At 38.6% G+C, this 24,282-nt stretch overlaps 1 protein-coding gene across 19 annotated transcripts in view; it reads left to right on the top strand.

Moving 5' to 3' along the window:
• CNOT6L (CCR4-NOT transcription complex subunit 6 like) overlaps window positions 1–7,549 on the top strand; it is a 106,883-nt gene extending 99,334 nt beyond the window's left edge. For all 19 annotated transcript variants that reach the window (NM_001387835.1, NM_001387839.1, NM_001387836.1 and 16 more), the window contains one exon: window positions 293–7,549. In NM_001387835.1, the coding sequence (NP_001374764.1) occupies window positions 293–505 (213 nt within the window). In that variant the 3' untranslated portion in view covers window positions 506–7,549. The remainder of the gene's footprint in view (window positions 1–292) is intronic.
• The last annotated feature ends 16,733 nt before the right edge of the window (window positions 7,550–24,282 follow it).

Raw genomic sequence — 24,282 nt, 5'->3', positions numbered from 1 at the left:
CAAGCAGGCCAATTCTAAAGATGACTAGACATAATTTAATGTGTTTAGCTTCTCAAATTATCACTTACACACAAATGGAAGGATTTATAATTCCAATAGCATGCTGTGTTTCCCTATTGAGCCACCTTTATTTCATGTAATACCCATTGAATATTTGAGCCTTATTTGACCCACTATCAAGACAACAGGTACCAGAAGAAAGGGTAGTCAGTTTTTTGGTTTTTATAAATTATGGATTGTTCTTTATATATCTTGAATTTTTCTTTTTTTCCTATTCCCAATCTCTTTCCAGGGCGTGATTGACTACATTTTCTATTCCAAGACTCATATGAACGTGCTTGGTGTCCTGGGGCCTTTAGATCCTCAATGGCTGGTTGAGAACAACATCACTGGGTGTCCACACCCTCACATCCCTTCAGACCACTTCTCACTGTTAACACAACTTGAACTCCACCCTCCACTCCTGCCTCTTGTCAATGGTGTTCACTTGCCTAATCGGAGGTAGTGGAGTACTGCCCCGCCAAGACGGGGATCTGTTGCTATGGACCTGTACAGTTGTAAATCAAAGTATGTAGGAGTGAAGTATGGCCATCCTTAAGCTGCTTCTTCAGGTTTCTTTCATTATGTGTTTGCTGTAAGACTTTGTACATTTTTGTGCATATTGGTATCATTTGGCAGTAGGGCTGGAACCAAAGTATTACTCTCTTTACAAAATTTTAATTTAACATGTTTTTAAATTGGACCTTCTTTATATTGTATTAACAGCCAGCATTCAAAATTGATAAATTACCAATTTGAGGCCCAATAACAGTGTATTTGTTTTTCCAAAACAAATACTTTCTTTTGAATGGTTTCAGTGAGCCAACCATTTTATAAAAGGCAATTTTTAAAAACTATAAATACAGTATTTTAAACTGAATGATGATATGCCTTCCAGGGAAAACCTTGAATTTTTCCTTTATAACTGACTTTTGGATTCCAAAGTCATTTGCACATTAACAGAGTACTTAAATTTACTTGTTCAGTCCATAAACTATGATATAGCCTCTATACATGGTAAGAAAATTTGAAAAATTAAAGATGGTTGCACAGTATACTTTTATAATCCAGCATGTAACACCACATGACAATTTGTTGGCCAAATGCTGGTTTGGAGTTTTTTTGAGGAATCACTTTGGTTTTTTTGTCCTTTATATATAACCTTATTGGAAGTATTAATTCTAAGCCTGTCTCTCAAGTTTATTTATAGAGAAAAAGTAAGTAATCTGTATTGCCACATACCTTGAAAATAGAATGTGGTATGTTTAGGATGCCCACGGAATGAATTTTTCCTTATTCCAATTCAACCTTCTGTCTGGTTGTGCCAGGAAAACAGATGTTATATGACCTATGTCATTTTTGCCATTATAGTCAAATGTTAAAAGAAGAAAAAAGTCTGCTGAATAAAAAGGCCTTGATCAAAGTTTCAGATGGGGAAAATCATACAGATATTTTATGTGTTTCCAACATAGATTATGTGGCTGTTGGTTTCTTGAGATGACAGTGCAAAGGATTTGGGAGAGAGAACAAATTTGGGGCAGTAGTTGAAAACGTTGGGTCATTTTCCTGACTCTAGCTGCCAAATGGCCATCATATGCTTTTAATCTTTGTTTCAGTTGTCTGTCAGGGTTGAATTAAGAAGCTACTGGTTTATTCCCAATTGTTGATGCCTTTAGGTATGTTGGAATCTTTTTTTTGCCTAGGAGGGGCCAGTTGAAAATCTGTGACTCAAGAGGCAGTGAACAGAATACTGTTTTCTGGGGAAAAATTGGTTGGCTACTTGATGTTAATTATGGCACAGTAACAGGAAAAGGTTGTGTCTGTGTTTTTAAGTTTTTCTTTATTCTGCTTTTTTGCTGCTATAAGAGTTTTCTGAAATTTATATTTTAAACTTTTCATGCACTTTACTGTTTCTAGTCTCAAAATGTGATATTTTTAATAAACAAGAAATTTTCCATTATGTGAATGAAATTTTAAAAGACAATAGCCTATATTTGTGTCTCACTAATATATAAAGTATAGGTCAAATTTAAATTATTTAATTAGTTTTAAATATACACAATTTGTCTCCTCTTTCAAACCTGACATCTTCGGCTGTTTTATTAGTCTTAAATGATGCATTTACTTTGGTCATTTTATGCTAATTTCTTCCATAGTAAATTAATCAGGCTATATAAGGTAATATTTCCCCAGAGGGTAATTTTAGTGGGACGAGGGTGGTGGGATGATGTCATATCATACATGGGATTGCATCAGAAGGGTTCTGTAAAGCCTGAACTCCCTTTTAAAAGTGCCTAGTGATAGAGGCGTTGTTTGTCATCTATTATAATTGGAATGTCATTGTAGTTCAGTGAATTTTGATGTAAATAAAATATCTTTTAAAAATGTTAAAGTACCAGGATAAACAAACAAAAAGAAACAACCCTTAAGATGACAGATTTTCCTCAACATGCAGGTTTCCCTTCTTATATACCTCAAGTATCCAACATCTAGCCATGCAAATTGATTACCTGAAGCATAGTACTGGAAAGTAGAATAGCATGAAAAACTTAATTTTGTGGACATTACCTTTTTTTGTAATCAGCTACTGTATGTTTTATTTTAGATCTTTTGTTTTGGGTGGGTTTTCTGCTCTGGAGGTATATGCACTAACAAAACATTTTCCTCCTTTCATATACGCATGTTAATTAGCAATGTGAGCAATATTTCCTACCATACTTCACTCCCAATATTTTTTGAGATGTTTGTATAAAATGGAATTTAAAGTTCACTTATGATTGTATATGAACCACAGAGGAGCCCATTTATTAATAAAAAACTTTTTTAATAGTTAAATGTAGAGGGAAAAAATAAAAAAAAATGGGAAACATTGTAAACAGCTTAAGTTTATTTTGTGTATGATCGAGGCACTCTGTTGCAGGAAGGTGTGTAATTGGGTTCTCTCTGCTTCAAATGCGCTCTTTCAAACCATTCATTATCCTGTGTATTTTTAATGTGGTTTTAGTAAATGTTGGTAGTAGCTCTGTTGAAGTAGGTAATTGTGTTATGTTTTGGGTGGTACACACTTGGGGCATGGTAACCCAAATTTCATGTGCACGGTTTCCCTTTAGCCCACTGCCCAAATTTCACATACCCTTCACCCTTTGTTCCCTTTGTAAAAGGAGTGGTATCTGTTTTGAGCTGCCAATTCAGATGATCAGAAATGCTGCTTTCCTCAGCATTGTCTTGTTAAACCGCATGCCATTTGGAACTTTGGCAGTGAGAAGCCAAAAGGAAGAGGTGAATGACATATATATATATATATTCAATGAAAGTAAAATATATATGCTCATATACTTTCTAGTTATCAGAATGAGTTAAGCTTTATGCCATTGGGCTGCTGCATATTTTAATCAGAAGATAAAAGAAAATCTGGGCATTTTTAGAATGTGATACATGTTTTTTTAAAACTGTTAAATATTATTTCGATATTTGTCTAAGAACCGGAATGTTCTTAAAATTTACTAAAACAGTATTGTTTGAGGAAGAGAAAACTGTACTGTTTGCCATTATTACAGTCATACAAGTGCATGTCAAGTCACCCACTCTCTCAGGCATCAGTATCCACCTCATAGCTTTACACATTTTGATGGGGAATATTGCAGCATCCTCAGGCCTGACATCTGGGAAAGGCTCAGATCCACCTACTGCTCCTTGCTCGTTGATTTTGTTTTAAAATATTGTGCCTGGTGTCAACTTTTAAGCAACAGCACTGCCTAAAAGCAAGCAGAGAACAGAATCCCAGCACCATTCTATAGGCAACTTTTTAGAATTCAGATATAGTAAATCTGTTCCAGATTTATGATGTTTTATGTAAAAAAAATTTTGTATAATAACATAGCTGAATATTTTTGTTTCATTTCTTTGATGTAAGGCGTGTGAACATTCGTTTGAATATCACATGTTGAAGTCAGGTATGGCACAATGGGTTCTGAGACCAGCTTTTCCTCCCCTCCCATTTGCCTTGTTCCAAGCTCTTTCTTTTCAAATTACTTTTCTGATATTCATAGGCAGGTATTTAATTTTACTAATTAGCATCCTGTGTGAATGTATTAAAGAAGCCACTGTGTTTTAGTGTAGTTGGCAAAAATATAAAAGCTGTTTCTTATTTGCCCCTATTTTTTTGGTGTCTTAAAGTTATATATTAAATCACAGAGAAGCAAGGGAGAAAGTTGAAAGATATCTAAGGCTCATATCACTTGATTCTATGGTAGATTATATTAGAATTGAGGATGTGGCACATTAAAACTGGAACATGGGCAAATATAGTGTTCCATTTTAAAATTCTAAGTTTATATTGTTAAATGGGTGAAAATTTAAGTTTATATTTGCATTTCCAAGCGTTTCTAAAAATCACTAATGCCATCTATACTTTTAGTATGAAACAGCAGACTATAGAAAGCACAGGGAAGAATAGGCTAAATACATTCTTTGAAGAACCAGAGGCATATAACCACATCATTATGTCATTCCTAATACATGGCTAGATTTTCTAATGATAAAATTGACTGTGTCCCAATGCTTATTTGATTCTAAGCTTTTTTATTCTGTTTCTGAGATATTTTAATAGCTTTGCAAAATATGCTGACCAGTTTTTGGAAAATAATGGTTTTTATAGCAAGCAAAGACTTTATGGCACATTTTCAAAATAGCACTCATACATACTTACATTTTGACAGAAATGTGAATTCTCACATTGATGAGATATTCTTTTTCCCACCTGCCCTACCCTTTAAAAAAGGTCACTTTTCTAATGTGTAGTAGATTCATTTACGCCTTTCCCTTTGAGTCATACCATGTTTGGAGAACTGTGTGAATTGTAGGTAGAGAAATTAACTAGGGAAGCCAGAAGCTTGAACTAAAGTTTTAAATTTGTAGGCAGATGAGAACTTTTATACTATGGTTGCTTTGGGCGATTCTAATTTTGTAATAGCATCATGATCACCAAAATTAATTCAAACATTTTAGTACATCTTTAATCTGTCTTATTTACCAAAGTTCTAATCTGTTTAAGAACAGGATGCCAAGAGCATCTTTCATTTTATAGAATGATATGCTCACCTTTATAAGTGTCACCTAAAAGCTTGAGGGTAAAAAAGAAGCAGCCCATATATCTAAACTACAGGATGTCTTGAACAAGATTCACAGAAAGAAAGAAAAAAAAGCAGTTCTTTCCAGGAAGGTGGTAAGGAAGAGCATGCATATTTCTTGTTTTAACCAAATACCTTTTTTATGTAAATGTCTCTATTAAACCCCAGGTCCTACACCAGGAAATAGGGTGATAACCAGGAAAATACCAAGCTTTAACCCAGTTGGCAGTTCCTTGTGGCATACATTTGGTTAGACTTGGGTTTTTCCTGGAACCAAAGGAAAATAAGCATGTTGAGTTCTTCGTTCAACAGACATGACATTGAAGTAATAGAATATTTTTTAAGTAAAATAGTTTTCACTTTCAAAGCCTATGACATAAGGACATTTGTGCTTATTAATTGTTAATTTTTTTTTATGGTACATTGTATAAACTGAGTAGCATTGAACTGCATTTTAGAAGTATGTCATCAGAAACAAATCACATTATGGAAAGGATATACAAATGCCAAGTGATATGACTCTTTTGGCATGGTGGTAGCATGGTCCATTCAGCTTTCAGAATCTTTCGGAGGCTCTAGTTTGGTGCCTAGTACTAGTTATTTTTGTTAGAACAATCTCTCAAAATTTAGATAATTTTCCAGTTGTATGTCTGTCACTTTTAACTCTAAAGCGTAAGAATCATGGTAACCCTCTCAGAAGTGGTCCTTTCTTGCTCATTTCAGTTTCGTATTAACTTCAAATCACTGATGTATTGTCTTTCAAGCTATCAATTGTTATATGTACCAATTTAATTTAGTTTGTAGTTATCTGAAGTCACAAAATTGGTTCAGCATTGATGTCAAACAATGGCTTTGCTTCTTACCAAACAGACTTAGTATCCTGCTGCTTGTTTCAATCTTGATGCAGTAAGTGATGCAGTATCTGGGTCTGTATTTACTTAGAAACTGTACTGTCCTTTCTCTGTGCTTAACTTGCTAAAAATATATTCCCTTACCTGTGAAATTCCTGAGCGGTGCTCTGCCAACTTTTCAAGGGGAGGGATTTGGATGGCTGTGTTACTGCACACTGGATCTGGAATTGTTCAGGGTTATGAGTGACAAATTTCTTAAACACCAGCAGCACTGAGATGTGCACTATGGGCATTCGTACAGTTGTTGTCCAAATGCAAACAACTTTTTCATCTTGGAGAAGCTGAGATACAGAGTTCAATAGAACTACTTGGAATATTTTGAGAAGGTTGAATGTTTCATCTTTGGCTTTGTTGTCTCTGGAGTGGGGAAGTATGGAGGGCTTTTTTTTTTTTTTTTTTTTTTTTTTTTTTTTTTTTTAAAGAGAGTGTGTATGTACTTTTTCTCTCTATAAGGGCCAGGGTGTTGGTCAAATTCACCATCGATTAATTTATATCTTCTGTTGTGATTTTTTTCAACTATATAACAAGTGCCAACTAATTGTCCATGGGACAATCTACTTTTCCACTCAATTTATCGTTTTGAGTAGGGAAAGGTTCATTTATTTTCATTACCTGGCATTAAGTTAAAGAATTCATTATTTTGCATACATTTGAGTCATTCTGTGACCTATAAAGTGTTTTTGTAACTATCTAATTCTAATGGTTGCAAAGCAAAGCACATGACTGTAAAACCAAGCAAGGTGTTTTAGTAACTTTTTCCCTGAATACTTGGTAGTTTCCATTGATACTATTCCAAAACAAATTCTGCTGTTTTAGGTTGTATATTTACTTTGCTTTTGTTCTAAGAAAAAGCCAAGGACTAAATCAACTTGTTTTTGTGTTTCAGTAATCAGTTTAAAATCTAAGATTTTTTTTTAAATTAGACTATTTAATGAAGTGCCATGTAATTGTAGCTTGCTAGTGTTTAATGTTTAATAGACTGGTTCTGTAGGTGTTTTAACCATTTAACACTCTCTGCCATCCCTGGAGAAAGTGGTTCTACTCTTACTGAACACATTCTCTCTGACAAAATCACCAGCTGCTTTATTTTTCTATTTATTACAGTTAAACAGTTGATGAGGTCTGAATCTTGACCAAAACTGCTCAGCTGAGATGTTTTTCACAATAGACACTGTACAAAGTGTGCGTGCAAAAGGACACGGTTGGTAGTATTTTTTCATTAATGTGAACATTGACTAAAAAAAAGCAGTCCTGCCTTTTAAATCTTGTGGCAGCTCAGAAGGGAGGTGCTTAAGAACCTTAACTACTATGTCAGATAACAAAATATTTTTTTCCATTTTGGAGATTGGTTACTGCTCACACATGATGTATAGGGCTAAATATATGCTTGTTTCCTTGCACCTGTGTACTTCCCCTCTCTCCCTCCCTTTCCTTCCCCTGTAGGCAATAAATGGCCATTTTGCAACTGCATACCTTTGTCTTGGTTTTTGACTCTTTATTTGTGCAGTATAAACCTCTGCTTTTAGGTTGATACGTCTCTTCTAAAGTGAAGTAGGGAGCCAAGATAATTCAGGGCAAAATACATAATTACAAATTCATGCTACATTTTTTTTTCTGGTGAAAACTACATTACTAAGTACATTGTTTAAAAAAAATTCTGAAGCTAGTTATATGACTTGCTTTGCCCGAAGAAACCAGTGCAAAGGGATATATGTCACTTCTGAGTGGAACTTTAAGGGCCAGTCTTTAATTTGCCATATTTCCTTTTCTTGCCTGTGTGATCATAGAAGTATATGTTGAGATGAAACCTCTCATTCCAGATCCTTAAGTGACTTTGTTGAAGAGAACTCCCCTGCTGTCCTTTGGGCATGTAGCGTAATAAACAACTGCTAAATCTCAGTGTGTTAATACAATAAAGTTGTGTTATTAGGGCTTAATTTAGTTGATCCTGACTGACAGACAACCACCAGACAGATTTGCTGAGTTATCAATATTGAAGAAACTCAACAGCTGGACCTGCTAAGATCTCAAGTAAATTCATTCAACAAACATTCAGGTATCTTCTGTGAACAAGGTGCTGTGGGCATATTAAGATGAAAGACATCTTTATAATGCCTATCCTCCAAGAATTCATATTCCAAATACTCCTTATGACACAGAAGATATTCCAGTGTTTCAGTCAAAGTAAAGATATCTTAAATCATAGAATCTTGGAAAGAGAGAGAGAGAAGGCACATAGTGAAATAATTAGGAATTCTGCAAACTGTGCTTACAGATATTCAGCTGAAAAATGACTTTAAAATAAGGTGATAGAGAACAGATTATTTTTAGTGAAACAGAAAACAGCTGTGCGGCTTAGTAAGCGCTTGGAAAAGATAATGGTAGATTATTTTGGAACAGATTGTCAACATTGACAGTTCAGTGCCTATTGACTTGTTTTTACCAAGGATCCAGTGTGAGAAGGCTGTCACTGACCCTGAGGACCTTGTCTTCACAGAAGCCTTTGTGTTGGCCAGCCTTTAGGAAGTCCTCCAAAAGTGGAATCACTCTCATGTGAAGTGAATCTTGAAGTTGTCCAGATTTCAAGACACCTGCCTTGTTAAGAGACCTTTGTGATGAGGCATTGAAGACACTCACCAAGTGTCCTTTCATTTCACCATCTGGCCTTGGGCAAAATGTAGGCTCAATGGTAAAGTGGAGATGAACTAAATCTCACGAAATCGGTCTCCGAAAAGCAGAAACCAAGACAAGGGTTTGCATGGAGGTAGTTTCTTTGGGTAATTGATCTCAAGAATGAATGGAAGACAAAGAAGAATGAAATAGGGAAGGAGGGAAAGCCAAGTCAGGGATGCGTTACAGAGCTGATCACTTCTGTGGGCAACTGGGGAATAAACATGCCAAGGACCCTCTGTGGAGCTGAATAGAAGGCACCTGAAAATTATCTTCATGAGGAATGGGATGAGGCAAAGTTTACTCCATGGGTGTTAATTCCTTTTCCCATCCATGTTTGTGCCTGTATCAAATTCACTTAGCAAATTCCTGCAGGTGTCCCATATAGTGATAATGGAGAAATGGGATGAGGGGGTGGGTGGTGCAAAAAGCAAGAAATATTTGGTGTGGCTCAGGCAAAGTGTATCAAGTTACACCAGTGTGCATCTGGTTGCCAAGGTAATAGAATAAGGAAGTGAGCTGAGAGGTGTGAAGTGAACATAAGAGGGGTCCACTACAGTGTAACCACTTGTACCACCAAGTTCTGTTTGGGCCCAGGGTCAAGTTCATTTCATTGTAGCCTACGTTGTGGCAGGCTGTAATCTCAATAAAAAAATAGATGAGGAGTAGTGGGACAAAGAATATGGTCCCTTGCTGCAGCTGGTTCTGAGGCTGTGATTAATATTTATCTTCCCTATTCTATTACACATTTCAGATTTTACACAGCTTTGCAGCAACCTGTCAGTGGGTCTAGGTTGCTTCTCTGAGGTGGTGTGCCCAGACCTTCATCCCAACAAGATATAATTATACTTGCTGGGTGACGGCTGCTTTCCTGGACATAAAGGAACCAAGAGATGCCCAGTGAATCTTGGGTTTCAGATATGCTTCTTTCTGCCTCCCATTGTGGGAGCAACTCCACCTTCTCGTCAATATGATGAGTCTGTGTATGCCGGCATTGTGAGCCCAAAATGACCCCTTTCTGGGGGCAGCCAATATATTTCCCGTGCCTGGGTGTGGGTGGTATAAAGTCTGGGTCTTAGCCCACCTCAGCAACTCTGAAGGGCCTTCCCACCTTCAAAGTTCCCAGGGCGCCTTTCTGCTTTGTCCCCCTGAACTCTTTTCTCAGTCAAATCCTAATTCCTTTCCTTCTGTTTTACAGGGTTTGATTCTGAGAGCACTCACTGATAAGTTTCCTGCATGCTAATCTCCATCTGAGTTTCTTCCCAGGGAACACAACCTGCAACACTGAGCTCCAAGGAGGCATGCCAGCAGTATATTAGGACTGCCTCCAGGACTCCTTGCTTGATCCACTGGAGAGTGCCACCATGTCAATAAAATGCAGTCTTATTCTGGTGCCCTGGTTCACACTTTGAATATCTATTTTCACATGTTTCTTCAGTTCCTAGTCATGTTAGCCCAGATCTTAGAATTCTTTGGGTGTGTACACTATATTCTTCTGGTGTAGATACTATACTATATTCCTTGCTCAGACTGTAATGTGATGATAGTTACTGGTCACAGTCAAGGAGAGGAGGCAGGAGTGGATCTAATGGAGGTTGAGCATCATCTTGTGAGGCACCTGCTACATGTGAGAACTTTGTGAGTTATGCAGGCAAAGAGAGGTTTCTTTCCTCTAGCAAGGAAGAGGGGTCTGAGGGCTAAGAATATCTGGGGATTCAATCTTCTCTAGCTTTTCTACCCAAATATCCCCAGCCCAGGGTTTAGGGCTCACTTTGAATGCACAACCTCAAAGATGATGCCTGTATTCTTTGTGGCTCTGCTATTATTGTGCAAATCCTGAGCCTGACCTTTGGCACTGTTTGCCCCATGGCTGCTGAAATGATAGTCTATAAACACTGCCATGGATGCATTCTGACTTTCACAGTATGCCTTGACTTATAGTTAGCTAATTTGAGCCTGTCATTTTCTTTTTTTCAAAGTGTCTAAAGTCCATTTTGAAAACTGGGTAACCTTACAGTCCTTAGACTTATCGTTGCCCCCAACAGTTTAAGTGCCACTGTTTCCTTTCCACTTGCACTTCAAACCCACTACTAAGGAAAGTGCACTAGTGCACTGTCTAGTCACTTCACCAACCAGCAATGAAGTGACTAGAGAGTGTGATACAGGTCCAGAATCCATCTAAAGCCTTTGCTTCCTTGGGCTATTTCTGGTACTAATTGTCCTAGACTAAGTTCCTCCGGAGGACAGAGCCTGAGAGATCTTCCTTGTAGGTAATTTATTTTGGGATGTGATCTTCAGAAACAAGAATAGGGATTGCAAGGAGTCAAATAGGAAAGGAAAGCCAATTTAGTGGTGAGTTATTGAGCTGATCACATCTGTGGGCAACTGAGGCTTGATCCTAGCAGGATCCTTCTGAGGAGCTACATAAAATGCACCTCAGAATGTCCACTGGAGGAGTAAAAGAGGAGAATATCCAGTGGCTCCAATACCCTATTGGCCAAAGGTCACTTACCTAGGTGTTAACTCTCTCCCATATACAAGTTTAGCTTTTCTTATGACAATAGTGAAGGATTCTGAACATTTGAAGCAAATCCAGGGAATATACATAAAATTAACTACAAATGATAAAGTTCTTATGGAAATAAATTTAAATGGCTGGGCATGATGGCTCAAGCCTGTAATCCCAGTACTTTGGGAGGCCAAGGCATTTGGATCACCTGAGGTCAGGAGTTCAAGACTAGCCTGGCCAACATGGCGAAACCCTGTCTACTAAAAATACAAAAATTAGCCAGCGTGGTGGTGCATTTCTGTAGTTCCAGCTAACTGGGAGGCTGAGGCAGGAGAATCTTTTGAACCTGGGAGATGGAGGTTGCAGTGAGCCAAGATTGCACCATTGCACTCCAGCCTGGGTGACAGAGCGAGACTCCGTCTCAAAAAAAAAGAAAAATGTACGCATAGTTCTGTGTTTTCTAAGCACATTGTATATACTTTTATTCCTTATTTGTAGATCATGGCAAGTTAATATAAAACTTAGAATTGGCTGTTGTAGGGTTTGTTATGTGCCAGGCACTGTTTATATGCTTCATATAAACTCATTTAATCGTCACAACAACATAATAAAATATGTATTGTGATTCTCTTAATTTTCCAGATGAAGCTGAGGCCCAGAAAGATTGGTAACTCAATAGCTATGTAATCTTGGGCATGAGTTGGTACAGGAAAGGGCTCTGCAGCATGTCCAGACTATAGTGAAAAGTAGCCCCTCCTACTGGGCCGTCGAACCTTACAGACCTATGGTGTTAGAGGTTGAGCTGCTGTTATACAGTGGGGACAGGGAGGAATAAATCTGGCACCCAGCAGTATGCATGGGCAACTCTTGGTACTCTTTGGTCCCATTTTGCTGTTAAATTGACAAGGACAAGAATCATGGCTTGAAAAGAGCACAGTAACTGGGTTCTGGGTTAGCCCACTAGGTCAACCAACAAGACCAGCAGAGGTGCTAATTGATGAAGAGAAGCCGTAGGTGAATGGGTCATGGAAGGAGATGATGAATATCAGTTGTAGCCCCAGAACAGCTACAACAGAAGAAGCTGTAGGTTACCTCACTAGCCTTTCCCTTCTACGTATCCCTGGGGGATGTGGGGGCACAGGAAGAGGGAGGAGGTGCTTTCAGAAATTATACAGGCGGGGTGTGGTGGCTCACACCTGTAATCCTAGCACTTTGGGAGCCCGAGGCAGGCGGATCACTTGAGGTCAGGAGTTCACGACCAGCCTGGCCAACATGGTGAAACCCCATCTCTACAGAAATACAAAAATTAGCCGGGCATAATGGCGGGTGCCTGCAATCCTAGCTACTCAGGAGGCTGAGGCAGGAGACTCGCTTGAACCCGAGAGGCAGAAGTTGCAGTGAGCCAAGATCACGCCATTGCACTCCAGCCTGGGCAACAAGAGTGAGACTCCGTCTCAAAAAAAAAAAAAAAAAAAAGAGAGAAATCTATTATACAAAACAAGTGGCTCTGAGTGTCCCAAGGTGAAGCTATGGTGATTGCTCTGATTGTCCTCTTCAGGACTCCAACATTCATATTTTTTCAACAATACAGGAAGCTGGGGGCTTTCTGCTGAGGTCTTCCCTGAGGAGGGAGCCCTGTCTTGCCCAAGGTCATGCCCCATCAGGGAGGAGGGTTCCTGTCTGCAGCCAGTGACTGGTGAAGGTGGTGTTCTTAAAGCTTAGTCCCTTTGCATCAATATTTGGCAATTCTGAAGGGACAGGCCAGCTCCAGAGCTCCTTACGCAAATGTCTAAGGCCTTTGTTGTGACTACATTGCTTTTTCACTTCCCAAGTTTGATCCTGACAACTGTCTTAAGGACTTCTTGAATTCTAGTTTCTACTTCAAAATCTGTTTCCTGGAGCGTCTATCCTGTGGCAAAGAGTAACAGGTTTCGCATGGCAGGTAATATTAGTGCTCCCAGATTTTAGAAAATCTTGCCACAGAAAACTGTAATACTTGGCATATAAGTTCTATGTTTGTGTGTGTATCATAAGGATGTATTGAATACTTAAAACTGTAAAACATCAGGGAAAAACAGGTAGGCTTTATTTAAGAGATCAGTGTATATCAATTTGTGGGGATTTGTGATCTCTTTCCCATGGATTAGAGGTGTCTATAATAAGGGATTGCATTAAACAGAGTTTGATTGAATAAACAGAAGCTACCTTATGTTAATCAAGATAAATATAATGCAGTGAATCAGTTAAATGGGCAAGGGAAAGATGAAGTCAAATAGTAGATGGTGATGCAAACCAGAAATTAGCAACATCCAAAAGCCACTGTAAGCTTCAAGACACTAGATATTGGGAAGAGATGCCACTAACAAACAGATACAGGAAACTGGTTTGCCTGTCAGGAGTTAGAATCATGGCAAGGGCTGTCCATAGGAGGTGGTATCACAGAAGGAGGGGCTGTCTTTTGAGGGCTGGGATCAGAGAAGGCTCAGGCTCTGCTGGAAATGCTACCTGAAGTAAGAAAAGAAGAAATTCCCTGGCTTTCCTTCCACTCTTCCCTCCAGTTTCCCTCCAGGTCTCCCATTGGCTGAACCTAACCGTAAGTGATGGGTAAAGAAGCCTAGAAAACGTTGCTTCCTTGACACATTCAGAACAGAGGAACAGTGGGGAATGCATGCAAGACAAAGCAAGCAAATGATTAGTACATATGCTGTTTTTACGACTCAGCATCCATTCTCACACTTATAGCCATTTTAAACTGTGATACAACCACAAGCTAATGCTGCTATATAACAGGATGCAACTGTCCTTTATATGAGCATGCTTCCCTCACCAGTGCATTTCTTAACAACTTAGTAAAAGGAGAGTCCTCTGGATCCTTCAAAGCAAGGGTATGGTTGGCAGTGGTTAAGCAGTTTGCACGCTGTGAATCCATTCCAGATTTCTAATTCTCCAGACTCCTTTGCCTGTACTGTGCTATCTAATACTACAGCCACTAGCCTCATGGTTAGCGGCTATTGAGCACTTGAGATAATTTGTTAAAAACATATTAAAATGTGGGTGCTAGAAAATTTAAAATTACATTTGTGGTTTGTATTTTATTTCTGTCTGAAAGCATTGTTCTTCAGTGTGCCAAGCAACATCTCTACTTCATATCTTACTGGCCTTATTCTACTAAACTAGCAGGTGATTGATACCACCGCTGGTGCTTGAGTGAGTCACCACAGGAAATCCTGAATCCAGGTATACATGTCTATCTCAATAAATTCCGCCTGATCCAACCTTTGTTTCGTCCTTTTGAATAGTCCTTTAGAATATATTTTCATACATGTCCCCTACATTTAACATAAATTAACAACATTTTGCAGCTCCTTTGGTGTATTTGCTATTTCATATGGCAGCAGATCATTCACTTTCATCTGGGCTATGTTGGATCAAACTCTTGTTATGAGATTAGAAACGATGGGTGGTTTGAATGGGCTCTGGAAGAATAAGCATCCTCTTCTAGGGCATCTGCCACTAGTGAAGTCGTGCAATGGTTTTATGCAAGTGAAGATTATTTGCCTCAGTTCGGGTGTTAAATGGAAAAACTGACAAAAGGAAAGCTGCTTTTGCTGGAGAGGAAGGCTCAGGGGAATTCAGCATTCAGAACCTCATCCCTGTCTGCCCTTTCAAAGTCTCGGGTACCACTCCTTCCCAACCAGGTCCTTTACCTCAGCATAAAATACCTGATAGGACTACACATGTAACTGATGATGCATTATCAAGCCTTGGGCCTGATACTCAGTCATCTGCCTTATGGTGATGGAGGTATGGAATGTGGCTATATAGCTTGATTTTTGGGTTAAAAAATTTAAGGCCTTAGGCTTATCTTTTTCTTTGTGCATACTCTTCAGGGCAGTCAGAAACATCCATCCTATGTAATAATTCTTGTTATTATTATTACTATCATAACAGTCAAATGCAATAGTTACTTGACCAAAGTCTTGCCTTCAACTTGTACCATGCCTTGAGAAACTGCAGCTTATAGTTTAAGTATGATATCGCTGCCTACCACAAATTGCTAGTGTCCCATTTCTTGCCTGTAAGGAGGTCGTCACTGCATTCATGATCAAAAATGACAACACAGTCTTAGACTTCTGTGTGGAGTATCAGTAAGAAGCCCCTCAGAAAACCAGAAATCACTCTGTGTATAGCAGACAGAAGACATTTAGTGCAGGGGACTTGTTGCACAGGTAATAGAAGAGTTGTGAAGCCAAATGAGAAGATATTGAGGAATCCTGAAATTAGGAAAAGCAGGAAAGTGCTACCACCATTTTGGCTGATGAGGTAGAAGGGAAGACATAGTGTTCTCAGAGCTCAGAAACTGAACCATCTAGTAGGAGCTAGAACTTCTCAGTGGCTGTCTTGTGAGATCTGGAAATACATAGAATTATCCCAAAGGAGTTGCTGTTATGGAAAAAAGTCACTAGGCCAGGCGCGGTGGCTCATGCCTGTAATCCCAGCACTTTGGGAGGCCGAGGCAGGCGGATCACGAGGTCAGGAAACCGAGACCATCCTGGCTAAAACGGTGAAACCCCATCTCTACTAAAAATCCAAAAAATTAGCCGGGTGTGGTGGTGGGCACCTGTAGTCCCAGCTGTTCAGGAGGCTGAGGCAGGAGAATGGCATGAACCCAGGAGGTGGAGCTTGCAGTGAGCCAAGATCATGCCACTGCACTCCAGCCTGGGCAACAGAGCGAGACTCTGTCTCAAAAAAAACAAAACAAAACAAAACAAAAACCAACACCAAACAGTCACTGCCAGAGGTGCCACTAAGCAGAGAGAGAAAGGGAGAAATACCCTGGCTGCTTCTCTTCTCCAGGGTATTTCTTCAAGTAATCCATTAAAGCTTCCCATTTGCCAAACCTATTCAGAAGCCAGTTGTTAAAGGAGCCTGAGAAATGTACACCTTCAGATACAGGAGAATTAGGGAAGGATGAGAATGAATCTGAGAACAATCAGGCAAATGACCAGCACAAGAAGCATATCCCATTCTCAGTTACGTACACACTATGTGCTGTGGATAGAGTCCTAGAGATGATATGGTACTTCAGAGAAGCTTGCAAATATATGGCCATATCATATATATTATGTATGTTGTTAGTAGTAACAGCATGAATGCTAGAGAAATCTTGTGTAGTTCTAGCATTAGTTCTGATTAGGGTTAGTACCTATTTTTTATACAGTATATAGGTGAAGTTATTATACATACCATCTTATGAGAGGCATGAAATTACTTAAAATAGCAAGCTTTTAAATAAGATTCTACCTAAGTACTTTCCTTATTCAGAAACCCAAAGAACAACATACATTTTCCCTTCTATGAGCTTGGCTCTCTTTAGTGATTTGCAACTACATAGCCAAGATGATTTGTCTAAACTTAGGAGACTACAAACGATGTGTGAAAATGAGGTACTAAACATATGGAAAGGAAATAGTATGGTGCCTCCTTTGAGATATTTATTTCTGCTGAAACTTTAATCTCTTAGTATTTTCACATCTATAAAATATTCTTTGTGGGGGAGGGGGAAGGAAACTCCCTTCTGCTTTAAGAGTCCCATTTTAAACCAAAAATGCACTTGCCCAACTTTTTATTTATTCCCTTAATAGTTTTGAGCTGTACCTATGGAAAGTCAGGTAAATTCAGAAAGCTTGAGTTTAGATATTTTACATCCTATACCACGCTTTCAGGGGAAAAAAAGGGCTTCATATTTTGAATATGTGAATTCTCTACCCTGTGGTCAGGAAGTTAGATTCAGGCATTGATCCAATGATCCCTGGAACATCTTCCACTTTTTTCCCAGTGGAAGGAAGAAAGATTTGCTAGAGGGGCTGACAGCATGAGAATGTGCTGCTACTTTTAACCCTCCAGACTGGGTTTCTCCCCAACACAAGTGACCAAGCAATTGTTTCTGAAGAGTCTTGAATGATATCCACATGACCAGTTTCTCCATTTTACATGATAATGTAAATTAGTACTAAGGGGATGTCTTTGGTTAATTACTGCAAACATTTGAGTCTGCAAACTCACCCCTTACAAACTATATGACACTGAATACTAGATTAAATGTGAATAAGGCAAAAGATGAATGTTTCCTCTACTATCCTAATGCAGGCCAGTCTCCAGGCATACTTTTTCTGGGGGGAGAAGGGGGTACAAAAAAAAAAGACAGAGAGCCATTGGGAAATTCACAGGGTAAGTTAGGGAGGTGAGAGGATACTGAAGGTTTTTGCAACTACCCATTTTTGGAGGGTGGAGCAGTTTTTTGGTTCATCTTTGCACAGAGTCCTCAATAAAAGTTTATTGAATTAATTAAAGGAGACAAATATGACAGCCCTTCAAATACTTAATATTGTTATATGGGAGAGGCATTAATAAGTCTTTCTGTAATAGCCACTTTTTGTTCTTACTTTTATTCCCTTAAAGTCACACAGAATAATAAATGGGAGAGTTTCTAAATTATTGGAATTGTTTAAAAATTGACCACGTAGAGACTTTTTTGCTATTACTTCTGGACAACCACAGAAGAAAATATGCTTTCTGTTGATGATCAGGCTAGACGACCACTAATTAGCCTCCCAACTCTGCCGTTTAGAATTATAGGATCTTCAGTTTTCATTTTCATTCAGATACTTATGTTCGTATTCATTAATCAAAAATGTCTTCAAAGTTTCAAAGAGTTAAATTATAACTGAAGGAATTTGGAGACAGACCTGTCTCCAGGGCTGTTTTAGTAAATTAAGGTATACCTGTATGTTGGAAAACCTAAGCAGGCATAATATGTGTTTATGGACCAAGAAAAATGGTCATAATATAGCATTAAGGAAAAAAAAAGTTAGGCCAGTGATGGTTTAAAAGTAATGGACAGAAGGTTTCTGAAATTCTATTTTGAAGTTTTAATGTTTAAAAAATGTTTTTATCAAGTATGTGTATGATATATATAAATAAACTAGGACTAGAAGAAATGTAACTTCTAATTTTCTTATCTGGACCAATTTACTTATTTGGCATAACTGAACAACAGCTCAACTCTTAACATAATTGAGCCTCTTTTATTCTGCAGAAAGTTTGATTCCATTACCCTCTCACCTTGAAAGAAGGGAAATAGTTTGATACTGAAGGAAAGGGAGGAGTCTACCCTTGTCCTTTGTTTCCCTCATCATACACTTAGTCTTTAAACTCTCTTTACCTGGAGAGACGCATTTTAGTGGAGTAATGAATCCAGAAACCAGAGATGGACTGTCTATTCCCAGATATCAAATTAATGATCTTGGTCCTTTTTTTCCTCTACCTTTCTATAATGCTCAGCCATGATAAGCATCCATTTCTTTTGAAAAGTCTCTGTTCTCTTGGCTTCTGTGAAACTTCAGAAGATTTGAAGATAATGTAGGAAAAATAATTTATATCTTGTTCATTTTCTCTGTCCACTGGTCTTGAATTATTTCAAGCATCAGCCCTACTTGCTTTCTTTCCTTTTCATTTTTTCCATCCATTATTCCTATTTAGATGACTCCCTAATGTCTGTCTCCACTCCTAATCTCTTTTAGTTCTCTATTTCTAACTGCCTCTTGGGAAATTCTTGGGCACACCTAATTTCACTATCTTTGAAACTAAATGAATCGTTCATCATTAGTCTTGTTCCTCCTCTTGTGTTTCTTAGGTGGGGTGAGTAAAAGATTCCAATCAAGACTAGTTTAAAGTTTGAGGAGCCATGGAAAGAAAGATCAGTCAAGACCACTAGGACTTGAGAACTCCTATCTTTCTCCTCTCCATTTTATTCAGTACAGACCCATTATTACTAATTTAAGTTGCACAAAAGGCTATCAACAGTCTATTTACTGTGCTCTTTTATAGTTTTATTAATTTTATGGAACTGACATAAGTTCACCACTAATCTCAGTCTCTCATTCCTGTTTATGCGTTAGGCTCTTAAGTTTCCCAAATTCAACTTCTTTCATCTTGTAGATATTCAGGAACTTAATCCATGGTGACATGGTGGTATACATGTGTGTTTGTGCTATAAGGGAATAGGGTATTGCTATATAATCAAGTGTGGGAACTCATAAAATGGAAAACTTATCAAGAAATTAATTGAATCTGCACCTCTCCTCTGTACTCTTCCCAAATTCCAAGCTACAGTGGATGGGCAGAGTTATGAACCTATAATTGTCCTCCCTTTTTCTCTAATATTATCTAGAGTTATTCCTTGATCTGATTACGTTCTGAATACAAATGGAATGACTGGAAATGGCTCTTTGTATAACAGGACTGAACTGTGTTTTGAACACCTGCTGCCTAAATACATATTAAAGAGGCTCCTCCAAGTAGATGCCAGTGTCCATCAGTAAAAATACTCAGCTGTCTGGTGGGACAAGTGTTAGGTCACGTGGGCTCTCAGCAACTATCACCATATGCTGAAAATAAATGCCAGAAAAAGAAATAAGAATTTTTTTTTAGCATGTATGGCAAAGGCCTGAGAGTAACCTCCATTATGGTTTTGGGAAGCAAACAATATTTTTGTGCCCATTTTCTGGAATTAGGCAATTATTATACAAAATTATGATCTTGCCTGTCTGAAACTACAGTGGTAGGACTGTCACCTTCCAATGGAATTGTGTATTCAGGGGCCACCAGTTTTTCTTTAGTGACAGTGACCTGTGTACTTTCAGGGACATAGGGAGGAGAGCCCTGGTGAAAAGATAAAATGGGAGAAGTATTTGCTCTATTCTGCTGTTCTATTCCCCTTATCTGTGACTCAAAGAGGTGCCAAGAAAAGAGTCTGAGATGACTTTGGGAAGAAAGAGAGGGCAGAAGAGAGGGAAATAAAAGGGTTGATTTTTTATGGGGGTGGCATTGAAGAATTGCTAATAGAAGAAAGAGTTACAGGAGCTGGTGGAAGCAATAAAATTGTTTAGGCTACCCGTTGGCTGTGGGTTTATGTTGTTAACATGCTGTACCTAGAGCAGAGTATTATATTGGCATTGACTTGTTACTACTATAAATATCTGGAAATGTCTTCTAAACTAATAGCAGTTGTTTTCCTATCTTTTAAAAAATATATACGTAGGAAAAAAAATGTTTGGATAAAAGTACATCAAGAAGGTTACTACTTGTAAATTATTTCTTATATTCTGTTTTTTTCTCACTTAAGTATTTTTCCAGGTTAACACATATATGTCAAAACCACAGAATATTATGAAGCCATTCAAAATGATTTGGTTGTGCTATTATATGGCTTAATTTTGTATTTATTGGATATTTAAGTTGTTTCTAATATTTTCCTATTGTATATCACTGAAACATAAATGTACTAGAATTTTTCCTTTTTAATATCAAAACTTACTTTGCTAATGTTTAGAATCAGTGGAATTACAGGGGAGCATTTAGGTAACGTGTGACTTACCAAGCTACATGTGGAAGCTTGAGTTTCTAATCTACCTCCACCATTCAAGTCCAGGGAGCAAGAGGGTTAAACTCCTAGCAGATGGTGCTGCTGCTAATGCTGCTGCTGACTGAGCATGTCAGGAATTTAAAGAGTTGCTTAAACAGGGTTAATATATGGCCTGTGGGAAGACAGCTGTTGTGTAGCAGAATTACAGGTCAGGAGGTTAGCCACATTTCCCTGAAAACAGAGGACTCGCCAGAGTCAGAATCAGTGAAAGCCATTTAGGGAAAGGAAAAAGCAGAAAGGTTCTATTTAAGGGAGCAGTTGAATGAGAGGGTAGAAAGTGCTAGGGTAGAACAGAATAACTACCAAATATAGAGGGGAATGGGGGAATGAAAGGAGACAGAAACAAGCATAGCAGAACACTGCCCCTACAGCCTCCACTCTGGAGATGCAGAGAGAGGCCGTACCACCAGCCCATTTCCCAGTTCCAGGGTTCGTTGTCTTATGCTTTCACCAGTATAGGGATGTGAGTTGGGAGAGCTCTGATCCTGCCAGGCTATTAGACGTTTAACATGGCTAATTGGCCCTGTAAGAGGACACAATGGGATGCTACCAAGTTGGAAAAAAAAATTAGCCTCTTGGAATTAAAATCTCATCAAGTAGCTGATATCTAATGCAGTCCAAATTCTGCAAACACCTTGAGGGTCTATTCTTAGTGAAGCACTGTGAAAGGGTATTACGGAGGTTTGAAATTTAAAAATGTGAAACACCCATCTCAGCTCTCAGGTAGTTTATTATATAATACAAGGGTGATGAACAGAGGAATTAGATAAACCCATGACTGTAATACAAGGTGACTAAGAAAACTGCTACCGAGAAAGTGGCAGGAGGGTCAAAAACAAGAGAGAGACCAGGACTGGTGAAGAAAACAGTGAATGTTTCCAAAGGATGTAGGCAAATATTACAAAGATGTAGGAGGGCATTACACGTGAAAGTGATCACATAATCACAGGCACTGAGTGACTAGTCTATCCCTCATACATGTTCATTTTAAAGTACTCTGAGGTTTCCTTCTTTTTTTTTTTTTTTTTTTGACAGAGTTGCCCAGGCTGGAGTATGGTGGCACGATCTCCACTCACTGCAACCTCTGCCTCCAGGGTTCAAGCGATTCTCATGTCTCAGCCTCCCAGGAAGCTGGGATTACAAGTGTGCGCCACCATGCCTGGATAATTTTTGTATTTTTAGTAGAGACAGGGTTTCGCCATGTTGGCCAGGCTGGTTTCGAACTCCTGACCTCAAGTGATCTGCCAGCCTTGGCCTCCCAAAGAGCTGGGATTACAGGTGTGACCCACCGTGCCAAGCCTAACCTGAAATTTCTTTATGGAATAAGTCAGTCTTTCCTCATATTCGATTTCTGGCATAAATGGGTATTCAATAAATATATTTTGAATATTTGAAGACCCCAGTTTTTATATTGGCCTATAGAATGATATAAGGAAAGACCATAGACTTTAATGCTAGATAGATATGGGTTCAAATTTCAATACATTTTCTCGCTGTGTGACCTTGAACACAGTACTCATTCTCTGAGCGGTTTCCTTATCTATAAAAATGAGGAATATAAGGATGGACTTTGCAAAGTTGTCGTAAGGATTAAGGAGGAAGACATGTTCATACACTTGCTTGGTAAGAGCTAGTGTTCTGCTTTCCCTTGCCTTCACCCTTGCCCTGACCGAGTCTGTGTAGCTGCTTGCCACTTCCTTGGTAACACCAGAGGGCAACATCGTCCCATTCTTATATCAAAGTTTTTCAGGAGTGAATGCTTCTTTGCAGACAGATTTTTTTAAATGCTTCAGCAAGGGAGGAAATAGAAACTCCATGCTCCTGAATGTGAATAGGGCGATAAGGGCTAAGCCCTGGAAAGACTTTGGAGCAGCTGCTGTGTTCCTCTGTGGGCAACAGCTATGGGCAGACGCTGTTGGAAGGCACTCCTTGTGCCGTCTATTTCTGCCAGCTGGGTTAAGAGGACTTCTCGTGCTAACAGAACCTTAAACTGGGAATCTAAATCAATCGGCTTGTTTACTACTAGAAAACCATTGTGCTTGTGTGATATATCTGAAAAGCCTGCTGGAATGTGTTTGCCAGAGTCTCATTACTATGGTGACTATGTATTCTAGTTAGCCTGGGACAGTCCTGGTTTATGCCTGTGGTCCCAGAGTAATTATTAGTGCCCTCTTTTACACTCAAAGTATCTCAGTTTTCAGGATAAGTTACATGGCCATCCTAGTCAGAACATTAAAAGGGATACTCACTAACAGTAAGGATCTGACGTAGCAAGAGTCCTCTGGTCGGTCTGGTTAAGACCGTGCATGGGCTTTGGAATCAGAAAGTGACATCTGGGTTAAAAACCCTGCTCTATCTGTGTGTCATTGGCAAGTTAGTTAACTTCTTTAAGCCTGTTTCCTGATGTATAGATTAGGGACAACAGAACATGAATGCACTGTCTCATTTAATCCTCCTAGTGAAAATGCTTACATGAGGCTCTGGGACAGTGATACATGGTTGCTACCCCTGGTATTATTTTTAAGATTTGCTGTAAGATTCAGGCTGTCACCTTAGCTGTATTGATTGGATCTCTGGATTTGAGGGAGTTGAGGGCAAGAGTGAAATGAATTGCACAAGGTTACAGAAACAATTATTGAATTGCTCAAGGTTAGAGCCAAAAAGAGCACCCACACCCATCTCTCTGTCTAGTGCACCAAGGTGGTTGCTGTTTCTGTGGAGATAATTCAAGGTTAAAGATGTGACCCAATGTCTATCCTGAAGCCTTTAGCAAATACTGGGCACAGTATTATTCTGAAGCATAGAGGAGAATAGACATCTGACTATTCTACTGCATTATTCTTTTCATTTTATTGCAAAATGTTTTATGTATGAATAAAAATAACCTTGTCATGAACACCAGAAAATGCACCCCTATTAAATCCTAACATTACTCCATACTTTTTTTTCAAAGAAATTAAATGTCAATGTCATATTCTATTCATCTTATCTGTCCCTATCTTCCCCTTCCAACAAGAGAATACAATAAAAATGTTTCAATAAGGAAAAATAGAAATTAAATGTCACATACAATTAAGACCTCCTATGTACCCCTCTTGTATAGACTTTTCCCTTATTAGATAATATTTTAACAGGTTTTTAAACTTAATTTAAATGGTGTCATACTATATCCCTCTGCAACTTTTTTTTCGTGTTGCTTAATATGTTATCGAGATTTATCCATGCTGGTAAGTGTGGTATACTATTACATTATATGAATATTCTGCAGCTCATTTACTCATTTTCCTTTTCATAGATGTTTTCATTGGTTCCAGTTTTCTGTAATTATGAACGATGCTGCAATGAGCATCCTTATGCATAAGACTCTCATACATGTAAGAGTTTCAGTATGGGTTATAGCCACAAGTGGACTTGCAGGGTCTTGGAGTATTAGTATCTTTGACTTTACTCAAACTGCCAATTTTTGCCAAATATTACCAAAAATTCTCCAAAGTGGTTGTTCCAATTTTCATTGTATTTAAGTTTTTTTTTCCCAGA

Source organism: Homo sapiens, chromosome 4 (assembly GCF_000001405.40).
Source record: "Homo sapiens chromosome 4, GRCh38.p14 Primary Assembly".
NCBI lineage: Eukaryota > Metazoa > Chordata > Mammalia > Primates > Hominidae > Homo > Homo sapiens.
Note: the sequence above shows the minus strand (reverse complement) of the source record. Positions and strands in the feature narration are given on the sequence as shown.